Source organism: Homo sapiens, chromosome 8 (assembly GCF_000001405.40).
Source record: "Homo sapiens chromosome 8, GRCh38.p14 Primary Assembly".
Taxonomy (NCBI): domain Eukaryota; kingdom Metazoa; phylum Chordata; class Mammalia; order Primates; family Hominidae; genus Homo; species Homo sapiens.
The window spans coordinates 102,583,018-102,600,754 of record NC_000008.11 but is presented as its reverse complement, the minus strand read 5'-3'; the positions used below and the strand labels follow the sequence as shown (position 1 = coordinate 102,600,754).

The 17,737-nt window shown below is 45.0% G+C and overlaps 4 annotated features.

Moving 5' to 3' along the window:
* Positions 9,080-9,374: a silencer, noted in NCBI's record as "tiled region #4303; HepG2 Repressive non-DNase unmatched - State 22:ReprW". NCBI's record gives its function as "represses a minimal TATA promoter and a strong SV40 promoter by Sharpr-MPRA in HepG2 cells {active_cell/tissue: HepG2}" and the evidence as "EXISTENCE:reporter gene assay evidence [ECO:0000049][PMID:27701403]".
* Positions 9,961-10,471: an enhancer, noted in NCBI's record as "NANOG hESC enhancer chr8:103602512-103603022 (GRCh37/hg19 assembly coordinates)". NCBI's record gives its function as "activates a minimal SCP1, AML or CMV promoter by ChIP-STARR-seq in naive H9 embryonic stem cells {active_cell/tissue: H9 hESC(naive)}" and the evidence as "EXISTENCE:reporter gene assay evidence [ECO:0000049][PMID:30033119]".
* Positions 14,521-14,750: an enhancer, noted in NCBI's record as "active region_27767". NCBI's record gives its function as "activates an Ori minimal core promoter by ATAC-STARR-seq in GM12878 lymphoblastoid cells {active_cell/tissue: GM12878}" and the evidence as "EXISTENCE:reporter gene assay evidence [ECO:0000049][PMID:35858748]".
* Positions 16,631-17,130: an enhancer, noted in NCBI's record as "H3K27ac-H3K4me1 hESC enhancer chr8:103595853-103596352 (GRCh37/hg19 assembly coordinates)". NCBI's record gives its function as "activates a minimal SCP1, AML or CMV promoter by ChIP-STARR-seq in naive H9 embryonic stem cells {active_cell/tissue: H9 hESC(naive)}" and the evidence as "EXISTENCE:reporter gene assay evidence [ECO:0000049][PMID:30033119]".

Here is a 17,737-nt window from a genome sequence, read left to right as displayed (position 1 = left end):
CGAAAGCAGAGAAGCCTGGGTGTCTGTGGCAGGGACGGCAGGGCGGGGCTGCTGGGGCAGTGGCTGAGAGACGGGAAGAGGTGGCACCAGAGGGGGACCTTGGAGGATGGGCAGGATTTGCCAGGCACATGGGGGGTGAGAGGAGAGAACAGCTGAAAAAACCTGAGCCAGAAATAAGAGCAACCGGGCATACTGGGCGATGGGGAGATGTTCCTGTACCCAGAGTTTACAAGAGTACAGGAGAAAATGCAGGGAGGGTAAACTGTACCTGCACAGCAAGGAGTTCAGATCTTCCACCATAGCAAACCCAGTCAAAGGTTTTTGAACAGGGAGTAATGTGAACCGAGTTATAATTTTTAAATGTCTTTTGGAGAGCTGTGGGTAAGGATGTACTAGAAGAAGAAAGCTGGCTGTAGAGACCAGGACGGAGGCTTTCACAGCAGCTCAAGTGTTGGGAAGAATGAGCGGGAGGAAATGTGCAGGAGGGCTTAGATGGTCATTCATTCCATGTTGGAGAACAGAGGGCAGGGAGTGGGCGCTGAAGACGCAACATTTGGGGACTGCATGACGAGGAGGTTGGTGGTATCCCTCTAAAGGACAGGGAAGGCAGAGGGAAGTAGGGGGAAGTGTGCATGCTGATCTGCGAGTGAAGTCCAGGACGCAGTTAGACTAGATACTTGGGAGTCACTGTGTGTAGGGCAGAGCTAAAGCCACGAGATAAGGCAAGATGGACAAAGACCACCGCATGGAGGAAGAAGAGAGGAAGGCCGGGAGAAGACTGTTCGTGGCCCCCAGGACCCATTCTCCCACCTTCATGTTAGTGATAAGTCTCCCTAGTTTGAAATAGGCACATGGACACCCGACTTGAGCTTCCCTTGCACCTTTGTGTGGTCATGTGACCAAGTTCTGGCCAATGGGATGTGAGTGGAAGTGATGACATGCAACTTCTAGGTCATGTCCTTTGAAAAGGAGGCTGCCTTCTTTCTCCCCATTCTTTTTCCCCCTGCGACAGTTTATAACATTGACACGGTGCTGGTACGGCAGTCCTCAGCATGAAAATGAGGATACCACCTAGGAATGGTGGTAGAGCAGGACAGGACGAACCGGGGCACCGCCCTGGACTGCCTGCGTAGCTCCAGACTAGCAAGTGGAGGAAAAATAAACTTCTTTCTCGTTGGAGCACTGTTGTTGATTAATTTGGGGAGGGGTTGTCTTTTTGTCACAGCAGCTAAGCCTGTATCCTACGTACTACTTATACTAATACTGAAAATTTCTATTGGGAATAAAATCCTGGGGGATGCCAGCACTCGGGAGACACAAGTGGGAAAAATGGAAACACAAAAGGAAAAGAGAAAAACCAAAGAAGTGAACTATCAGAGAATCCGAAGCAAGACAGCAAGGAAACCAGAAGGCAAACAGTGCTGAATGCAGCATAAGCATCCACATAAACGAAGATTATCAAGAGACTCTGATTTGGCCAGTATTTCAGCAGATCAAGGGGGACTTAAATCAGGCAAAGGAGTTTACACCAGAATGGAGGTAAAAATACAGTTTCTGCCATCTTTGTGCATACTTTTTGTAAGTGTGTCACTGATTTGGACATTTACAGTTTTGCATTGGCCTTTTGAGAAAAACAAACCAGGCTCATTTGCACTTGTGCTTATGAAATTATGTGTATATGATGCTTATCTGTGTGAATTATGATTTTTCTGTGTAATACTAGGCTACCAAAACGAAATATTTAAATATTTAAGTGTTTATGTTCATCAAAGCATATCATTTTTTCATCAATTGACCTTATAATAGTAAAAGATATGTATGCTGAATTGAGAGATTGGTGAACTGAACTGTACCCTTGAGGAATCTTTTGATTTCCAGTGAAAGATAACTCAACCCAAACCGCTTTAAGGAGAAAGAGAATTCACTGACTCACCAAACTGAAGTGGCCAGGAGTAGGCTGGCTACAGGCAGTCTGCTCAGGAACTCCCATTTTGTCATTGGGACTGTTTCGGTCTCTTCCTTCTTTTCCTTTCTCTCAGTTCTACCATGGCTCCATCCTCAAAGAAGCTTTCTCCCTGTTATCACCAGGTGGCTGCACTGCTTTTCACAGCCACCCCAGCTTCATGTCCAGGGGAGAAAACCAAAAGTCTCTTGCCAAGAAGCCCCAGTAATTGGGTCTTGTTGGCTTGTAGGTCACATATTCATCCCTGAACCAATCACCCCACTTCAGAGAAAGCAAAGCTTACTAACTGTGCACCCTGGGCAAATCATGTAACCTCTCTGTGCCTTAGTTTTCTCATTTTAAAATGCAGATGATAAATAGTACTTATCTAATAGACTTGTTATGAGGGTTACATAAGCTAACATTTATAAAGTGCTTAGAACAATGCCTCACTCAGAGTAAGCATCATATAAATATTTGTTGAACAGATATGTTGGCCAGGCCTGAGTCACAAATCTCCCACTTCTATCCACTTAGGCCACACAGTGACTGTATGGGGAAGGAATAGTTGGTGTGGAACAAAGGAGTAATGGATCCCCGGTAGGCAAGTGACCCATGTTCTCTAGAATGCTAGAAAACAGGAATACAAGAACTCAAGTTTGAATGAAGTGGAAGAATAGATTTGAGAGGAGGAGATGGGATTATGACCAGAGAGGTGAATTTCAGGAAGCCTTAAAGATTGATATAATTTGGCTCTGGGTCCCCCACCCAAACCTTATCTCGAATTGCAATCCCCACATTCCCCACGTGGTGGGGAGGGGGACCAGGTGGGAGGCGACTGGATCATGGGGGCAGTTTCCCCCATGCTGTTCTCATAGTGAATGAGTTCTCATGAGATCTGATGGTTTTATAAGGCAGTTTTCCCTGCTCTTGCTGGCACTCCATGCCTCTTCCCCTTCCACCATAATTGTAAGTTTCATGAGGCCTCCCCAGCCCTGTGGGACTGTGAGTCAATTAAACCTCTTTCCTCTATAAATTACCCAGTCTCGGGCATTTCTTTGTAGCTGCATGAAATTGGACTAACACACTGATGATGTTGCAATTCTGTGATGAAGAGAATTCAAGAGGGGCTAGTGTTGGGTGGCTGAAGTCGAGTTGAAGTAGACACATCTACAACACCAGGGTATTCAAAATTGTATCTGTTACAATCCCTGGACACCTTTATCAACTCAGCTGGGCTGAATTTTCTGCCAAAAATGATATTTTCAAAGATTGTTGGTTTTTAATAGTCTAGGTTCTAAATATAAATATTTTAGGTTTTAAATAGTCCAAGGCCAGAGCTTCAAATGTGCATGTGTGTGAGTGTGTGTACGTGAGTAACTACTCTCTTACCCCTTTTTCTAGCACTCCCCCCACCTTTTTTCGAGATGGAGTCTCGCTCTGTTACCTAGGCTGGAGTACAGTGGCATGATCTCGGCTCACTGCAATCTCCGCCTCCCGGATTCAAGTGATTCTCCTGCCTCAGCCTCCTGAGTAGCTGGGATTACAGGCGTGCATCACCACGTCCGACTAATTTTTGTATTTTTAGTAGAGACAGGGTTTCACCTTGTTGGCCAGGCTGGTCTTGAACTCCTGACCTCGTGATCCACTCATCTCAGCCTCCCAAAGTGCTGGGATTACAGGCGTGAGCCACCACACCCGGCCATAGCTTTTTTTTTTTGAATCGATTGCATAGGTTTTAGGGCCCAAAGAGATCTAAGAGCCCACACTCAGCCCAGCTCCTTCAGGCCTTAAGAGTAAATGTACTCAAGTAACCTACAACATGGCAAAGTAAAGCATCAGTTTTATTACTAGGAAACCTAGACCAAAGAACTCAGGGGACCATTGGGGGGCGGGGGGCAATGGGACTTCTTCCGCACCTCCCTCAGGGCAGTTGTCATACCCTGACTCCAGCCAGCATGAGTGCCTCGAGAGTCCATGGCACCAAGATAGGGGCAGGCAGACCTGTCTGGACTCTGAGGCAACCCTGGAAGCAGGACCAAAGGGGTCTTGGGACTGAAGGCCAGTGGGAGCAGCCCGCTCTCCAAGGGAGGCCAAGGGTAGGGAGAGAAGGGCCTGTGTCTCAAGTGTCTGACCCAAGTGTCTCGCTCAGCTGTATTTTTAGCTCTCACCCTTGAGCCACATATCCATGGAGCGTCCTCTGAGAACCTACATTATTCTTTTGCCGAAGCACCGCATTTTCCTTGCATTTTAGTTTAGAGAACCAGTTTTGGGGGGCTTTGTCTTCCTTCCTGCTTTTATGTCCAGTCTGTTTTCTATTTTCTCTCAAAAACTTGCCTAATGAGCAGGGAGGGGGTGGGATTGAAAAGATGGATCTTTGTCATCACACAGATCTGGACTGAATCCCAGCCACACCGGAGCCCAAGAAGCTGGACCTCCGGGAGAATCCACTTCTCCTGCTGTCAAATGGGGATCCTAACAGTAATCACTTCATGGGCTGTGCCCCGGGTTGACTGGGATAATGTTTGCAAAGTGCCCCGCACAGTTCCTGGTGCATAGTAACGGATGTGGGCAATTATTTTATTTTCAGAAATCAGTGAAAGATGTGTGTGGAGGGCTCACCTTGTTACAGTTTTTCTCCCTGGGGAACTCTCTCCTGAAACACGAGTCTTTGTTTTGAAGACAGCCTCAGTGGTTTAGTCTTGTGTGAGTTCAAAATTGTTTTGTAGCCTCAAAATCACATCCATAGTAATCTTGTTTGTCCGTCGTTAATCCTGTTTTTAAGCAGTTTCCTCTAGTGATTAAAAAAAAAATGATGCAAGGGCAATTGGAAAACATGCCATGTTGAAAGCTGCTTCAAGGTGAAGGTTTACCTTTTAAAAAATTATTTCTGTTGTTCATTTCATAGTAACATAAGATTTGACATTCTGGCTATGTTCATATGGTAAAAATAGATATAAAGTCTGTGAAATCAAAGTATAATCACCATAACCCAGTATCTCTATGATTTCCATATATTTTTAGAACCTGAAAATAGAAACATTTGGGGGGCTATTTTATTACTTGCTTGCATTTTTAATCTGTCAAACCTGAATTTTATTTTAGTTTTTACTTTGTTTATATTTTATGATGCTACAGATGTTTAAAATTCATATTTTGGGGACTAAGATGAAAGTCTTTCCTGAGATCATTTTATTTGGAAATAGTTTTTATTTTAGTTTGGCATTTTCTGTGGCTACTAACTTAAATCTAGTAACTGGTATCCATGGCATCCATGTTCTTTTTTATTTATTTATTTTTTTCCTCACTACTATGCTAACAAGGAGGCATCCATGTTCTATGAACCAGAATATTCTTTCTAATTACTTTACCTTTGAACTCAAACTATTTAACTTTTATACAAATGGAGAAAATAGTTCAAAAAGTAACATGTCTTCTTCAGCATTACCTAATGGCAATCAACACCTAATTTACACCTCTAGGTAGAAACAGAAATCAATTCGTCTCTCAAATGTTAAGGGCCAGGTCTCATGTTGCAGGCTTTTCCCATAATTTCACTATATTATATCTTTTCTGTTTACTAAAAATAATCTTTCCTTTTTCTGATTGAAAAGTAATCAATGCTTTTAAGATAACCTGAAAAATAGTATTATCTCTTGAGCTGATCCTGAATTTCAAAACAGTTCTCTGAAAAATGGTTTCCTCAAAGTTGAGAACATAAACAATATGTTACTCCCAAGGCAATAATCAGAAATACAAGCAGATATTTCATTTGACAATATTGTCTCATCACAGTGAGATGATGAAATAAACATATTTTTCATTTATTGTAATGAAAAATTGCAAACCACCTAGATGTTAGGTAAAATACGGTATATCTATGTAGATTAACGTGTAGCTATTACAAATAATAGATTACGTAGCATTTTTCCTTTTTATTTTTATTATTAGATTCTTTTTATTTATAAATTAACTAATTACAAAGTGCACTCATTGAAAAGCTTCGCAGCACAAAGGCTACAAAGAAAATACTCTATTTTTAAGGACTTGGAGAAATGCTCACAATCCAACAATTACTGAAAGAAGAAAAACATGAATTCAACATAGAGCTCAATCTTGGTTATATTAGTTATATTATAACGCAAACTATATAATAATATATAACATTATATATAATATATTGTATATTATATATAACATAATATATGATATAATATATAACATATGCCATATGTTACATATAATATATGTAACATATGTTATATATTTACATATAAAATACATGTATATGAAACGGGAGAGTTCCCTGATGCCCCTTGCAGGACGTTGGACAGGGGTGTGGCTCACCTGTTCAGTTGCCACAGCTGCTCAAACCCCTTACAGGAGTGGGAGCACATAGACAAATGCAGGAGCCCAAGCGGGCCTGTGTTATAGTGTGCCTTTTTAGCCTTGCCGTCCTCGGATAGCTTGAGTGTTAAACAGCTCAGTGGAACCTCTGCCTTTCTGGAAGGGCAGAGGGCCGGTGTGACAGCTTTCTGTATACCGAACTCTTGTCCAGCATCCTGGAAAAATCAGGTCACACACGGACTTGAAGGATGAATGCGGGAGTTTTACTGAGGGGTGGAAGTGGCTCTCAGTGGGATGGATGAGGAGCCGAAGTGGGGGATGGAGTGGGAAGATGATTTTCTTCTGGAGCCCGGCGGTCCAACAGCTGAACCCCTCTTGAACTGCCCCCAGCCAAACTCCTCTTGGCATTCAGATGTTCCTCCTCTTCTCTCTCTCTGCCGCATGGTTCCACTGTCCATCTGCTTGTCTCATCTCCTCGCTTGCTCGTCTGCTTCTGGAGCCTGGGGTTCAGGGTTTATGTGGGTACAGGATAGGGGCGTGGCGGGCCAAAAGACAACTTTTTGGGTGCAAACACAGGAATGCCTGTCCTCATTTAGGGCTGCTGGATCTTCAGGCTTGAGGGTAGGGCCTTTGCTGGGGGAACCACCCTTTCCTGCCTAGTGTTTCCCTGTCTCCTGTCCGTATCATATATATTATTTTTATTTATTTTTATTTTTTGAGACAGAATCTCCCTCTGTCACCCAGGCGGGAGTACAGTAGCATGATCTCTGCTCACCACAACCTCTGCCTCCCAGGCTCAAGCAATCCTCCAGCCTCAGCCTCCCACGTGGCTGGGACTACAGGCACGAGCCACAACGCCAGGCTAATTTTTATATTTTTGTAGAGATGGGGTTTCACCATGTTGCCCAGGCTGGTCTCAAACTCCTGAACTCAAGCAATCCACCCACCTCAGCCTCCCAAAGTGCTGGGATTACAGGCGTGAGCAAATCCCCCCTCCCTCTCCCGCTCCAGTCAGTTATCCATATTTATTTGTGACAATATGCTATAGAAATAACAGGCTGCCTCTGGTTGGTGGAATTCAAGTATTTCACATTTTCTCAGGCCAGGCGTAGTGACTCATGCCTGTAGTCCCAGCAGTTTGGGAGGCCGAGGCAGGTGGATTGCTTGAGTCCAGGACTTCAAGGCCAGCCTGGGCAACATGACAAGACCCTCTTTCTACAAAAAATACAAAAATGAGTGAGGGTGTGGTGGCTTGCACCTGTAGTCCTAGCTACTTGGGAGGCTGAGGTGGGCAGCTGCGGCTCCTCAACCTCCAGATCACTATAGTGAGCAGTGATCTCACCATTGTACTCCAGCCTGGGCAACAGAGTGAGACCCTGTCTCAAAAAAAAAAAAATTTCTTTCTTTTCCTTTTCAGCATATTCCAGAATCTTTATAATAAACATATATACTTTTATAATCAAAATTTAATAAAAGGCAAATTTCAAAAAGACAGATAAGTAGTAGAACTGAAAAAGAGAAAATCCAGAGACAATGAATTTTTTAGACTTTGAGGGACAAAGACCACAGTGGCTGATAAGCATGTTTCCAGCTGTTTTATATACCAACAAACCTAAGTCCAGATGGTTTGTGTTGTCACTAACAAGCGTTGTTCCACCAGCAAAGGTGCTCACAGCTTGGCCTGACTTCTGACACACCACTGCGCTCTGGGTGTGCCATTTCATCTCCAGGGCCTCAGTTTCCCATTATGGCGGGTAAGGTCCACACAATGTTAAAGTCCTGAGATTCCATTCATATCATGTAATACTTGTTTTTCTAGCACCATCTATTGAAAAGTATTCCACATTAGCTAAAAAGGTTGAATTTAGTTGAACACACTGAGCACTTGCTTTCTGCCAGGCACTGAGATGAGGCGGGGTACAGAGTTGGGTAAGGAACAATCTCTGCCTTTGAGAGGCTTACCACCTGACCAGAGGGCCTTGGAGGAACAGAGGGGGAGGGTATGTGAAAAGTACATGCAGACAGCCAAGAGCACAGAGATGGGAGTTGAGACCCGACCTGGGAATCTGAGAAGGTTTCCTGGGAGAGATGACACCCAAACTGAGTTGTAGAGAAGAAGTCAGTTAGCCAGAACTGGAAAGGTACAAATGGACTTTCATCCTTGCAGCATCATGGGCAGTGCTTAGGGAGTGACAGTGATCAGTTTATTTATTTATTTAAAAAAAATTTTTTTTGAGACAGGGTCTTGTTTTGTCGCCCAGACTGGAGTGCAGTGGTGTAATCACAGCTCACTGCAGCGTCGACTTCTGCGGACTCAAGCGATCCTCCCACCTCAGCCTCCTGAGTAGCTGGGACCACAGGCATATGCCACCATGCCCAGCTAATTTTTTTTTTTTTTTTTTTTTTTTGAGACGGAGTCTCGCTCTGTCACCCAGGCTGGAGTGCAGTGGCGCAATCTCGGCTCACTGCAAGCTCCGCCTCCCGGGTTCATGCTATTCTCCTGCCTCAGCCTCCCGAGTAGCTGGGACTACAGGAGCCCGCCACTACGCCTGGCTAATTTTTGTATTGTTAGTAGAGACGGGGTTTCACTGTGTTAGCCAGGATGGTCTCAATCTCCTGACCTCGTGATCCACCCACCTCGGCCTCCCAAAGTGCTGGGATTACAGGCGTGAGCCACCGCGCCTGGCCGCTAATTTTTGTAGTTTTGGTAGAGACAGGGTTTCACCACGTTGCCCAGGCTGGTCTCAAACCTCTGAGCTCAATTGATGCACCCGCCTCGGCCTCCCAAAGTGCTGAGATTACAGAGACGTGAGCCACCATGCCTGGCTGTAATCAGTTTTAAAATAGAAAGAATTTGGGGCAAAAACACTTTCTAGTTGTTGCTCAGCAAGGTCAATGAGTGGTCAGCACAGAATAGCTCCTGTCATCTGGAAGGACGGGGGCACCGTTATCAGAAAGCAAACAGTCTTAAAAGCCGGGTGTGGCAGCCCTCACCCGTTGTCTCAGCTACTTGGGAGTTCCAGGCCAGCCTGGGCAAGGTAGCAAGACCCCATCTCTAAAAAACAAAAAGAAAGCAAACAGTCTAACTAATTTCAGTCCTAGTTCTTACTTTTTAGGAAATGGAGGCATTTTTAAATTTTCTACTGAGACAGCCTCCTCCCAGTGGCCTCTGGGGTCTTGCCCTTGCTGATAACCTTCCCATCATCTTTCTCCATTGCCCCTGCTACTGCCACCCACCATCTACAAGGCAACCTCAACTTTCTCTTGTTAAATTTGACCTCTCAAAGTGTAACTTACATGTGTTGGGTCAAAGAGAACTGCTGTGAGGCCTGGCTCTTATCTTTGGACACATGCTTAAAGCCCGTACCCTTTTCCCCACTGATAAGATATAGAAAAAACAGTAACAAAAGCTGGATATCATAATCAAGCCAAGACAGACTCCCTGCTGGGTCTGTGTCCGGCCTGGAGGGACTGGTGGGGAATTAGTCACGTAGAGCCCACAGAGCCTGCAGCAGGCCCAGTCAAGACTGTGCAGGTGGAAGGGTCCACTTCGGAGCATTTCCTGTGAATTTCCCTCCCCTCTGCCCCTCACTACTACTGCTCTAGGACCCTTATCCTTTCCTCTAGTCTACCCAAAGGAGGAATCAAGATTTTTTTTACCAACCTCTGGCCTGAGCATGAGACAGAATATATTCAGATGCATGCTTGGCACGTGAGCTTCTCAGCTCTCAAAGAGTGGTTAAGACTAGAGCTAGGAAAAAGGAGAGGAAGAAGGGAAGGGGGAGGAAGGGACGAAGGGCCTGGGGCTACCAAGATGGGAGAGAGGACTCACTGCTTCTAGGACCCAGGGACAAAGGAAATGATCTCAGAGATTAACTACCCTTAATCTGGTTCCCTCTGTGTGATCCATCCTTGCGGAACAATTGTAGTACAGTTATTCGTCACTTAACAATGGGACAGGTTCGGAGAAATGTGTCATTAGGCAATTTCATTGTTCTGCAAACATCACAGAGTGTAGTTACACAAATCTAGATGGTGTTGCCTGCTACACACCCAGGCTAGATGGCAGAGCCTACTGCTCCTAGGCTACAAGCCTGTGCAGCATGTTACTCTACTGAATACTGTAGGCAAACGTAACACAGTGGTAAGTATTTGTGTATCTAAGCATGTCTAAACATAGAAAAGGCACAATAAAACATGGTACTATAATCTTATGGGACCACCGTCATCTACGTGGTTCCCTCGTTGACCAAAATGTTGTTATGCAGCTTGTGACCATACTTAGGTTAATGCTAGCTAGCTGCTGTTACAAATCAACCTTTCAGCGAACACAGTAAAAGTTGATTCCTTGTTTATGTAACAGCTCATTGTCAGCGTTCCTGATTAGTAGGCAGCTTTTCTGGGACAGACATCTCTCTTCTGGCCAAGGGCGCTTTGGTCAGTTGGGCAGCTCATAACTATCCCTAGTGGCTCAGGAACCAATAAACAGGGGTTATTGTGCTTTACAGTTCTCCTAACACAGTACAGGAGGGCTTTGGAGGGAAGGAATGAAGAGGATGAGAAGTCTGAAAAGTCACCCGTTCAATACTTCCGTGAAGCCCCGCTTCTCCCTTTGAATCATGATTGTGGCTCGCAGAAAGAGCACGGACTGCAATCAGACTGATCTGCATTCAAATCCCAGCACGGCCACTTCCTGGCTGTGCGACTGTGGGCCACTTACTCCATCTCTCTGAACCTCAGTTCCTTCTTTTGAAAAACAAGGATATCAAGAGCTCACAGAGCAGTGGTGAGGATTAAATAAAATGGCATTCCAAATACATCAGGCATCTAATCAATACCTGCTCTTCCGCTAAGCAGGGCCCCCAGACTGGCTCTTGAATGGCACTTACCGTTCAAAGGAATCCTGAGAAACGGTGTTAGGGCCACTGCCACGTGGAAAAAAAAGTAAAGCAGAATTCCCTGTCTCCTCCCTCCGGAATAAATATAGATAGATCAAAGATTTCACTTATTTTCTTGGAGTAGGGAAGGCCTTCCTGAGCATGATTAGAAATCCAGAAACCACGAAGGAAAAGAATAGCCAATCTGATACATATAGATTAAAAATATCTGGGAGAGAAATAGACAGAGTAAGAGATAAATGGCAATTTAGGAAAAACATTTGCAACCTTATTCTACGGGCTAATTTCTTTAATAAATAAGAAATTCCTATCATTCAGTAAGAAAAAGGCTAATAACCAAATTGAAATGGCCAAAGGCTGCAAATAGGCAGTTCCCAGGGCAGAAAATACAAATGGCTTTTAAACATTGAAAAGATGCCCAAGCCTGCTCAGAATAAAATAAATGCAAATTAAAACTACAATTAGATAGCAATTTAAAGTCTTTCAGATTGGTACAGACCAAAAAATTCTGGTAAGACTTTTAGTGAAGGCAGAGAAAACAGATCCTTTCATATATTGTTGATGAGAGTGGAAATTGATTCACTCTTTCTAGAAAGCAATTTGGTAATTCTGTCAAAATCTAAATTTCAGGCCGGGCGCAGGTGGCTCATGCCTGTAATCCCAGCACTTTGGGAGGCTGAGGTGGGCAGATCACTTTGGCCCAGGAGTTCAAGACCAGCCTGGGCAACATGGCAATACCTTGTCTCTACTAAAAATACAAAAAATTAGCCAGGTGTGGTGTCACAAACTTGTAGACCCAGCTACTTGGGATGCTGAGGTGGGAGGATCACTGGAGCTCAGGAAGTTGAGGCTGTAGTGAGCTATGATCGCTCCTGCTCCACTGCACTACAGCCCAGGCAACAGAGTCAGACTCTGCCTACAAAAAAAAAAAAAAAAAAAAAAAATCTAAATCTTGTATACCCTTTGGTTTGGCAATGCCACTTTAGGAATTTATTCTGTAGATATATGTACAATTTTTTGCAATGATTAGAAGCAATTTGAATATCCATGAATAGAGGAGTGGTTAATTAAATTAGGATAACACCATAAAATAAATACAAGGTCAACCTTGTATGTGATAATATAAAAAAGCTTACCACGTGGAAAACCATGAGAACAGTGTATAGGTACTATGCATTCTTGTTTGTATTTTGAATGAATAAGTAGTATCATTCCCGTTTTACAGATGAAGAAAGTGAAGCTCAGAGGAGTGAAGTCGTGTGCTTGGGTCATCACATAGCCAGTAGTTAGATAACTGAGTCTGCAGAGAGCACAGGGATGTCTGTCTCTCTGGTAATAAAATCCAGATTTATAATACCATGCTCAAGAGCCTTCAGTAGCCTAAGAATCAAAGGATTTTCCTACCCTGGTTTCTACTTCTTCTCTTCATATACCCTTCCTCAAACTAAATTGAACTGATCCCCATCCCTCTATGTCTTTGTTCATGCTGCTCAGAGATCTGGATGAGCTAGATCCAATGCTACCTCCTCCAGGAAGCCCTCATTGGTTCTCCAGACAAAATTAACCTTAGCCTCCTCTAAACCCTTGAGCATTTTATCCCTTTTATAGAAATTTTTGGAGGGTGAGTCCTAGAGGGAGTGTAAGAGAGGAAGGGAGGAAAGGAATTAACATTTATTTTGGGCCTACTATGTGTCCAGCGCAATGCAGTGCCTTCACTCAAGTCTTCTTGTCTAGTATTTTAAGTATTATGATCAAACCATAGGTCGTTGGGGGCATGATCTATGTCTAATTGATCTGTGCATCTCCCCAAAGGCCTGGCCCAGCTCCATTCATTCAATGAATGACTGCATTCAACAACTTTTGAGATTCTACAACACATCAGGTAACAGTGTGTGGTGCCAAGGATACCAAGATGAATGGGGCAGGGTCTCAGCCCTCAGCATCTGTCTAGCTGGGAGGCCAACCACGTGACCCAATAAATCCTAATTGAACATTGTGCCAAGGTAGCGGGGAAGAGATTTGTTGGATGGTGGATAAATGAATGTGTGCACCTCATCTGAGGCCTGCCTTCACTAGCAAACTTGCACCATTAATCACCAATTTTACTCTTAAAATGTTGCTGATGGGTCTCATTCTGAGACTACCCTCATACACAGCTCTAGGATTACAAAGGTCTCCCTCTCACATTGTCTCTAGAACTGCACTGTCCAGTACCATAGCCACTGGTTACGTGTGGCCTTTTAAATTCAAATTAATAGCAACCAAACATAATTTAAAATTCAGTTTCTTAGCTGTACTAGCCAACAACCATGTAGGACAGGCATCCATGGACCTCCAGAGTCTCAAGAAGTGCTCAGTAGCCATAAATGACTACCGTGTTGGATGTTGGATGTGCAGATATAGGACATTTCCACCATGGCAGAAAATTCTATTTCACAGTGCTGAGCTAGAGCCTCCAAACCCCAGGCCTGGGCTCTCCTCTGCCTGCTTCCTTGGTGTCCTGACAGAGCTCACGGGGGGGCTCTGCACTTCAGTGTCCTCCTCTCCGAAGGCAAAAAATGTTCCTTAAAGAGTTGGGAGGCAACACTGACTTTCTCTCTCTTTTTTCCTTACTTTTTAATTTTTTTTTTAGTTTTTAGAGACAGTATGTCCCTATGTCACCCAGGCTGATCTCAAACTCCTGATCTCAAGAGATCTTCCCATCCCTGCCTCCCATCCCAAGTAGCTGGGACTACAGGCATGTGCCACCATGCCTGGCAGCACTGCCCTTCTCTACATTCAAATCATGCAAAGTTGGTGAGGTTATACATGCCATGAGAACCCACACTACATCACGACCCTGGTGACTCGGTGTTGGGCAAACTCTGGAGTCACTGACTGGTTTGACTTTCCTACCGTGCATATGCATTTGGTCTGTACTGATCATGGAATAAACACCACTCTCTTAAAAAGAAAATCATAACAAGTATAGTCACAGTTAACCATAGCCGTTTCCCTGAAAGGGGGTGGAGGTGGTGGGGGGCAGTCTGTGGCAGGATGCAGGGTCCCTGGGGACTCTCCCACAAGAGGGAGCACCCCCTCTACTTAGAGTCTTCCCCAACCCTTCCTATCCCACCATGATAGGCAGCAGATACAGACTCACACATGGAGGGCTTGTCGGCAACCCATCTGGATGGCACAGTGAACATGGGACATGAGACCACCGAGGACATTCAGCCCTCATGGCATGCCCATGTTGGTACAGCAAGGTGAGGGGCACCCTTGGGCCACAGGCCTCCTTCCTTCCTCTCTCAGTACCCAGGCACAAGGCAAGAGTGGCTTCCGCGTTAGCTTCCTTTGAGGGGCCAGCCCTCCTACCATCCCCGCTGGGGCCTCTTGGGTGCTGCCTGGAGTCAGGGGGTCTCCTGCAGCTGCTGGTAACCTGCCTGTTCTCCTGCCTGGGAGTGGGGTTGGGGAGCAGAAGGAACTGCCCCATGGGAAGTAATTTTCCTGTCTCCCTCTCCTGCCTGGCCTGGAGACTTCTCGCCTCTTCTGCTGACCCTGGAGGTGGGTGGATGCCTGTTCTGTGGGGTGTTGGCCCAGCAGTTTCTACCTGGCAAGGAGACCAGAGACAGCCACTAGAGGGTAGCGAACACCCTCCTTCTAATCCTGAATAAAGTGTGTGAGAAGTACAGCTCCGAGGGCGCTTGCTGCACCCCATCCCCGCAGAAGCAAAAACAAAACAGAAAACATTTCAGAGAGAAATTAACACAAACTATATTTTCATGTTTTACATTCATTTCCAGATAGATATGAATCAAAAGAAATCCCCCAGGAAATCAAACAAGAAACCTCTCAAAGCAAGATATTCAGTGTCCCTTTATTATCGTGAGATTTATATTAATAAATTCCTCTAATAATGTGCTCTCCAGAGCCCCGGCAATCTAATTAACATTGTGATGTAATACTGTTTGTTCTTGAGGAGGTATTTTACAAAGGAAAGACCAAAATGCAGGTTTCTCTTGCTCCCTTGGCACTCAGCAGTCTCTTTTATTATATTTGTCACATGGATTAAGAACTAAATTTAGAAATGAAATGAAAATGAAAATGCAATTCCTGCCTGAGCTTAGTTCTTGACAATTATCTATGTTGTCTCTGCCCTTCCGCAGGGAAAGCAGAATCACTTTGCAGTCAAGCTAGAGTCATGCAAACCGACGCTCCCTAGCGGTGGCACCAAAGCTGAAAGGTTGACGTAACCTTTCAGCTTTCACATGGCAAGTTGGGGTTTACTTATCAACAGAACTGAAGCATCCCCCAACTGCTTTCCTGCCAGCCTCTCTGCTGTTACTGTGTGTTCCTATACATTATTTTTCATCTCCAACGTGTTTACGTGTCTTTAGAGAGAAGTAAATTCCATTTCTTTTTATGACGTTGATCCATTTTTAATCAACAGGCAAAACAAAACAATTTCTGTGTTGTGTGAATCCCAGTAGCTAGGTTTCACCGTGACATTTTCACAACAGTCCTGCAAAGTATTTATTATTCTCCCTATTTTGTAGATGAAGAAATGGGCACTCAGGGAGGAGAAACATCTCGGCCAAAGCCACACAACTATTCCCGGGTGAAGTCTGGATTGCGTTGCTCTTCCCTCTGGTGAACTCCTGAGGGCAGGAAGGTGTTGGGTAAGTCTCTAAAACCCCACAGCACCTGGCTGGCACATCAAAGCCCTCAGAACCTGCAGAGTCTGAAAGAAGAGGGTGTGACCATATGGAAACAGGGAGAAAGATCTAGAAATCACCAGAGCCCTGTGAGTGCACTGCGGGCTGGTGGATAGAATTCATGGTCTATGGGATCATTACTGCCCTTTTGACTGCTGATTTTGTAACTGCAGGACCAGCCCAAATTGGGCCTACTCTGTTGATAACAGAATGTCAAGTTACCTTGTAGGCATAACAGAGCCAAGACTGCAAGTCATGCAGCCCAGGCATGCACAAAAGAAAAAGCTTTGACCTCTAATGACACCTGGAACACATGACTCCTGCCTGTGGAACCAAGAAGACTGGGACATGAGTGGAACTTGACCACAGGAACTCTTTCAGAAGCAAGGGGTCCGTTGGAAGGAAGATCCAGGACTATAATCCACCCCAACATACCTTACCATAAATGGGCCAATCTGAAGCCCTCCAATCAGACCCTGCCAATCCATCATTCCCGAATCTTTTCCTTTGCCCTCTGACCCCTTAAAACTTGCCCCAGACCCCAAATCAAGGAGACAGACTTGAGCCTATCTCTTTGCTGCCTGGCTACACGATAAAGCCTTTCTTTTCTTAAAAGCTGTGGCCACAGTACTGGCTACCATGAGCATCGGGCAGCAAGCCCATTGGCTCAATAACATTTTTACTTTGCAATTCTTAGCTCAGGCCCAGTCCCAGAGATTGAAGCCTACAAGGAGCTGAGACACGGTGGGAGCAGGGAGGGAGGAGAAGGTGATCCAGGGACTTACCAGGATATGATATATCATCGTAGGTATGACTGAGTACATGCCTACTTTTGTCTGTGGAGGTTGACAGAATTATTTTATTTCATGCTCTCAAAACACAGCAAGACCACATCCTTTGCTATAGTTAAGAAAAGGAAGCCTCAGAGATGTTTGTTATTCATCCAAGGAGCAAGAAAATCTTTTTTTAGCCCCCTTTATAAACATATTTCCCAATTTTAAATATATATGTATTTTTAAGTGAATGAGAAGCAAAGAACTGGAGCATGTGGGGACTTCCTGTGGAGTTTTACTGAGAACTGTGGCTGAATGCAGCAAGGGGTTGAGGAAGGATTTGTCTTGTTTTGGTTTTGCTTGGTAAAGGAAGGAAGCATCAGGTTTTCATGCTGCTGGGAATGATCTAACAGAGAGAGAGAGCGAAAATGATGAGACAGGAGAGGGAGGGCAGTCTTAGGGCCTGTAGCTCTGGGAGAAGCAGAGGAGACAGAACAGAGGCCTTGGCAAGGCTGAGGGCATCAGGGGCCCCTTCATGTGAAGCCAGTGGAATGCAGGGGCTTGCAGGAAGCCAGCTTTTTCTTCCTCCCCACTGCCTTTTCACCCATGGTGTGGGCTGCTTCCTCTCTGGCTGAGTGAGGTCTTTTTTTTTTTTTTTTGAGACAGAGTCTTGCCGTGTCACCCAGGCTGGAGTGCAGTGGTGCAATCTCAGCTTACTGCAAGCTCCGCCTCCCGGGTTCACGCCATTCTCCTGCCTCAGCCTCCCGAGTAGCTGGGACTACAGGCGCCCACCACCATGCCCGGCTAATTTTTTGTATTTTTAGTAGAGACGGGGTTTCACCGTGTTAGCCACGTTGGTCTTGATCTCCTGACTTCGTGATCTGCCCGCCTTGGCCTCCCAAAGTGCTGGGATTACAGGCGTGAGCCACTGTGCCTGGCCCTGCCTCCCAGGTTCTAAGTGACAGCACCATGCCCGGCTAATTTTGTATTTTTAGTAGAGACAGGGTTTTACCATGTTGGCCAGACTGGTCTCGAACTCCTGACCTCAGGTGATCCACTCACCTCGGCCTCCCAAAGTGC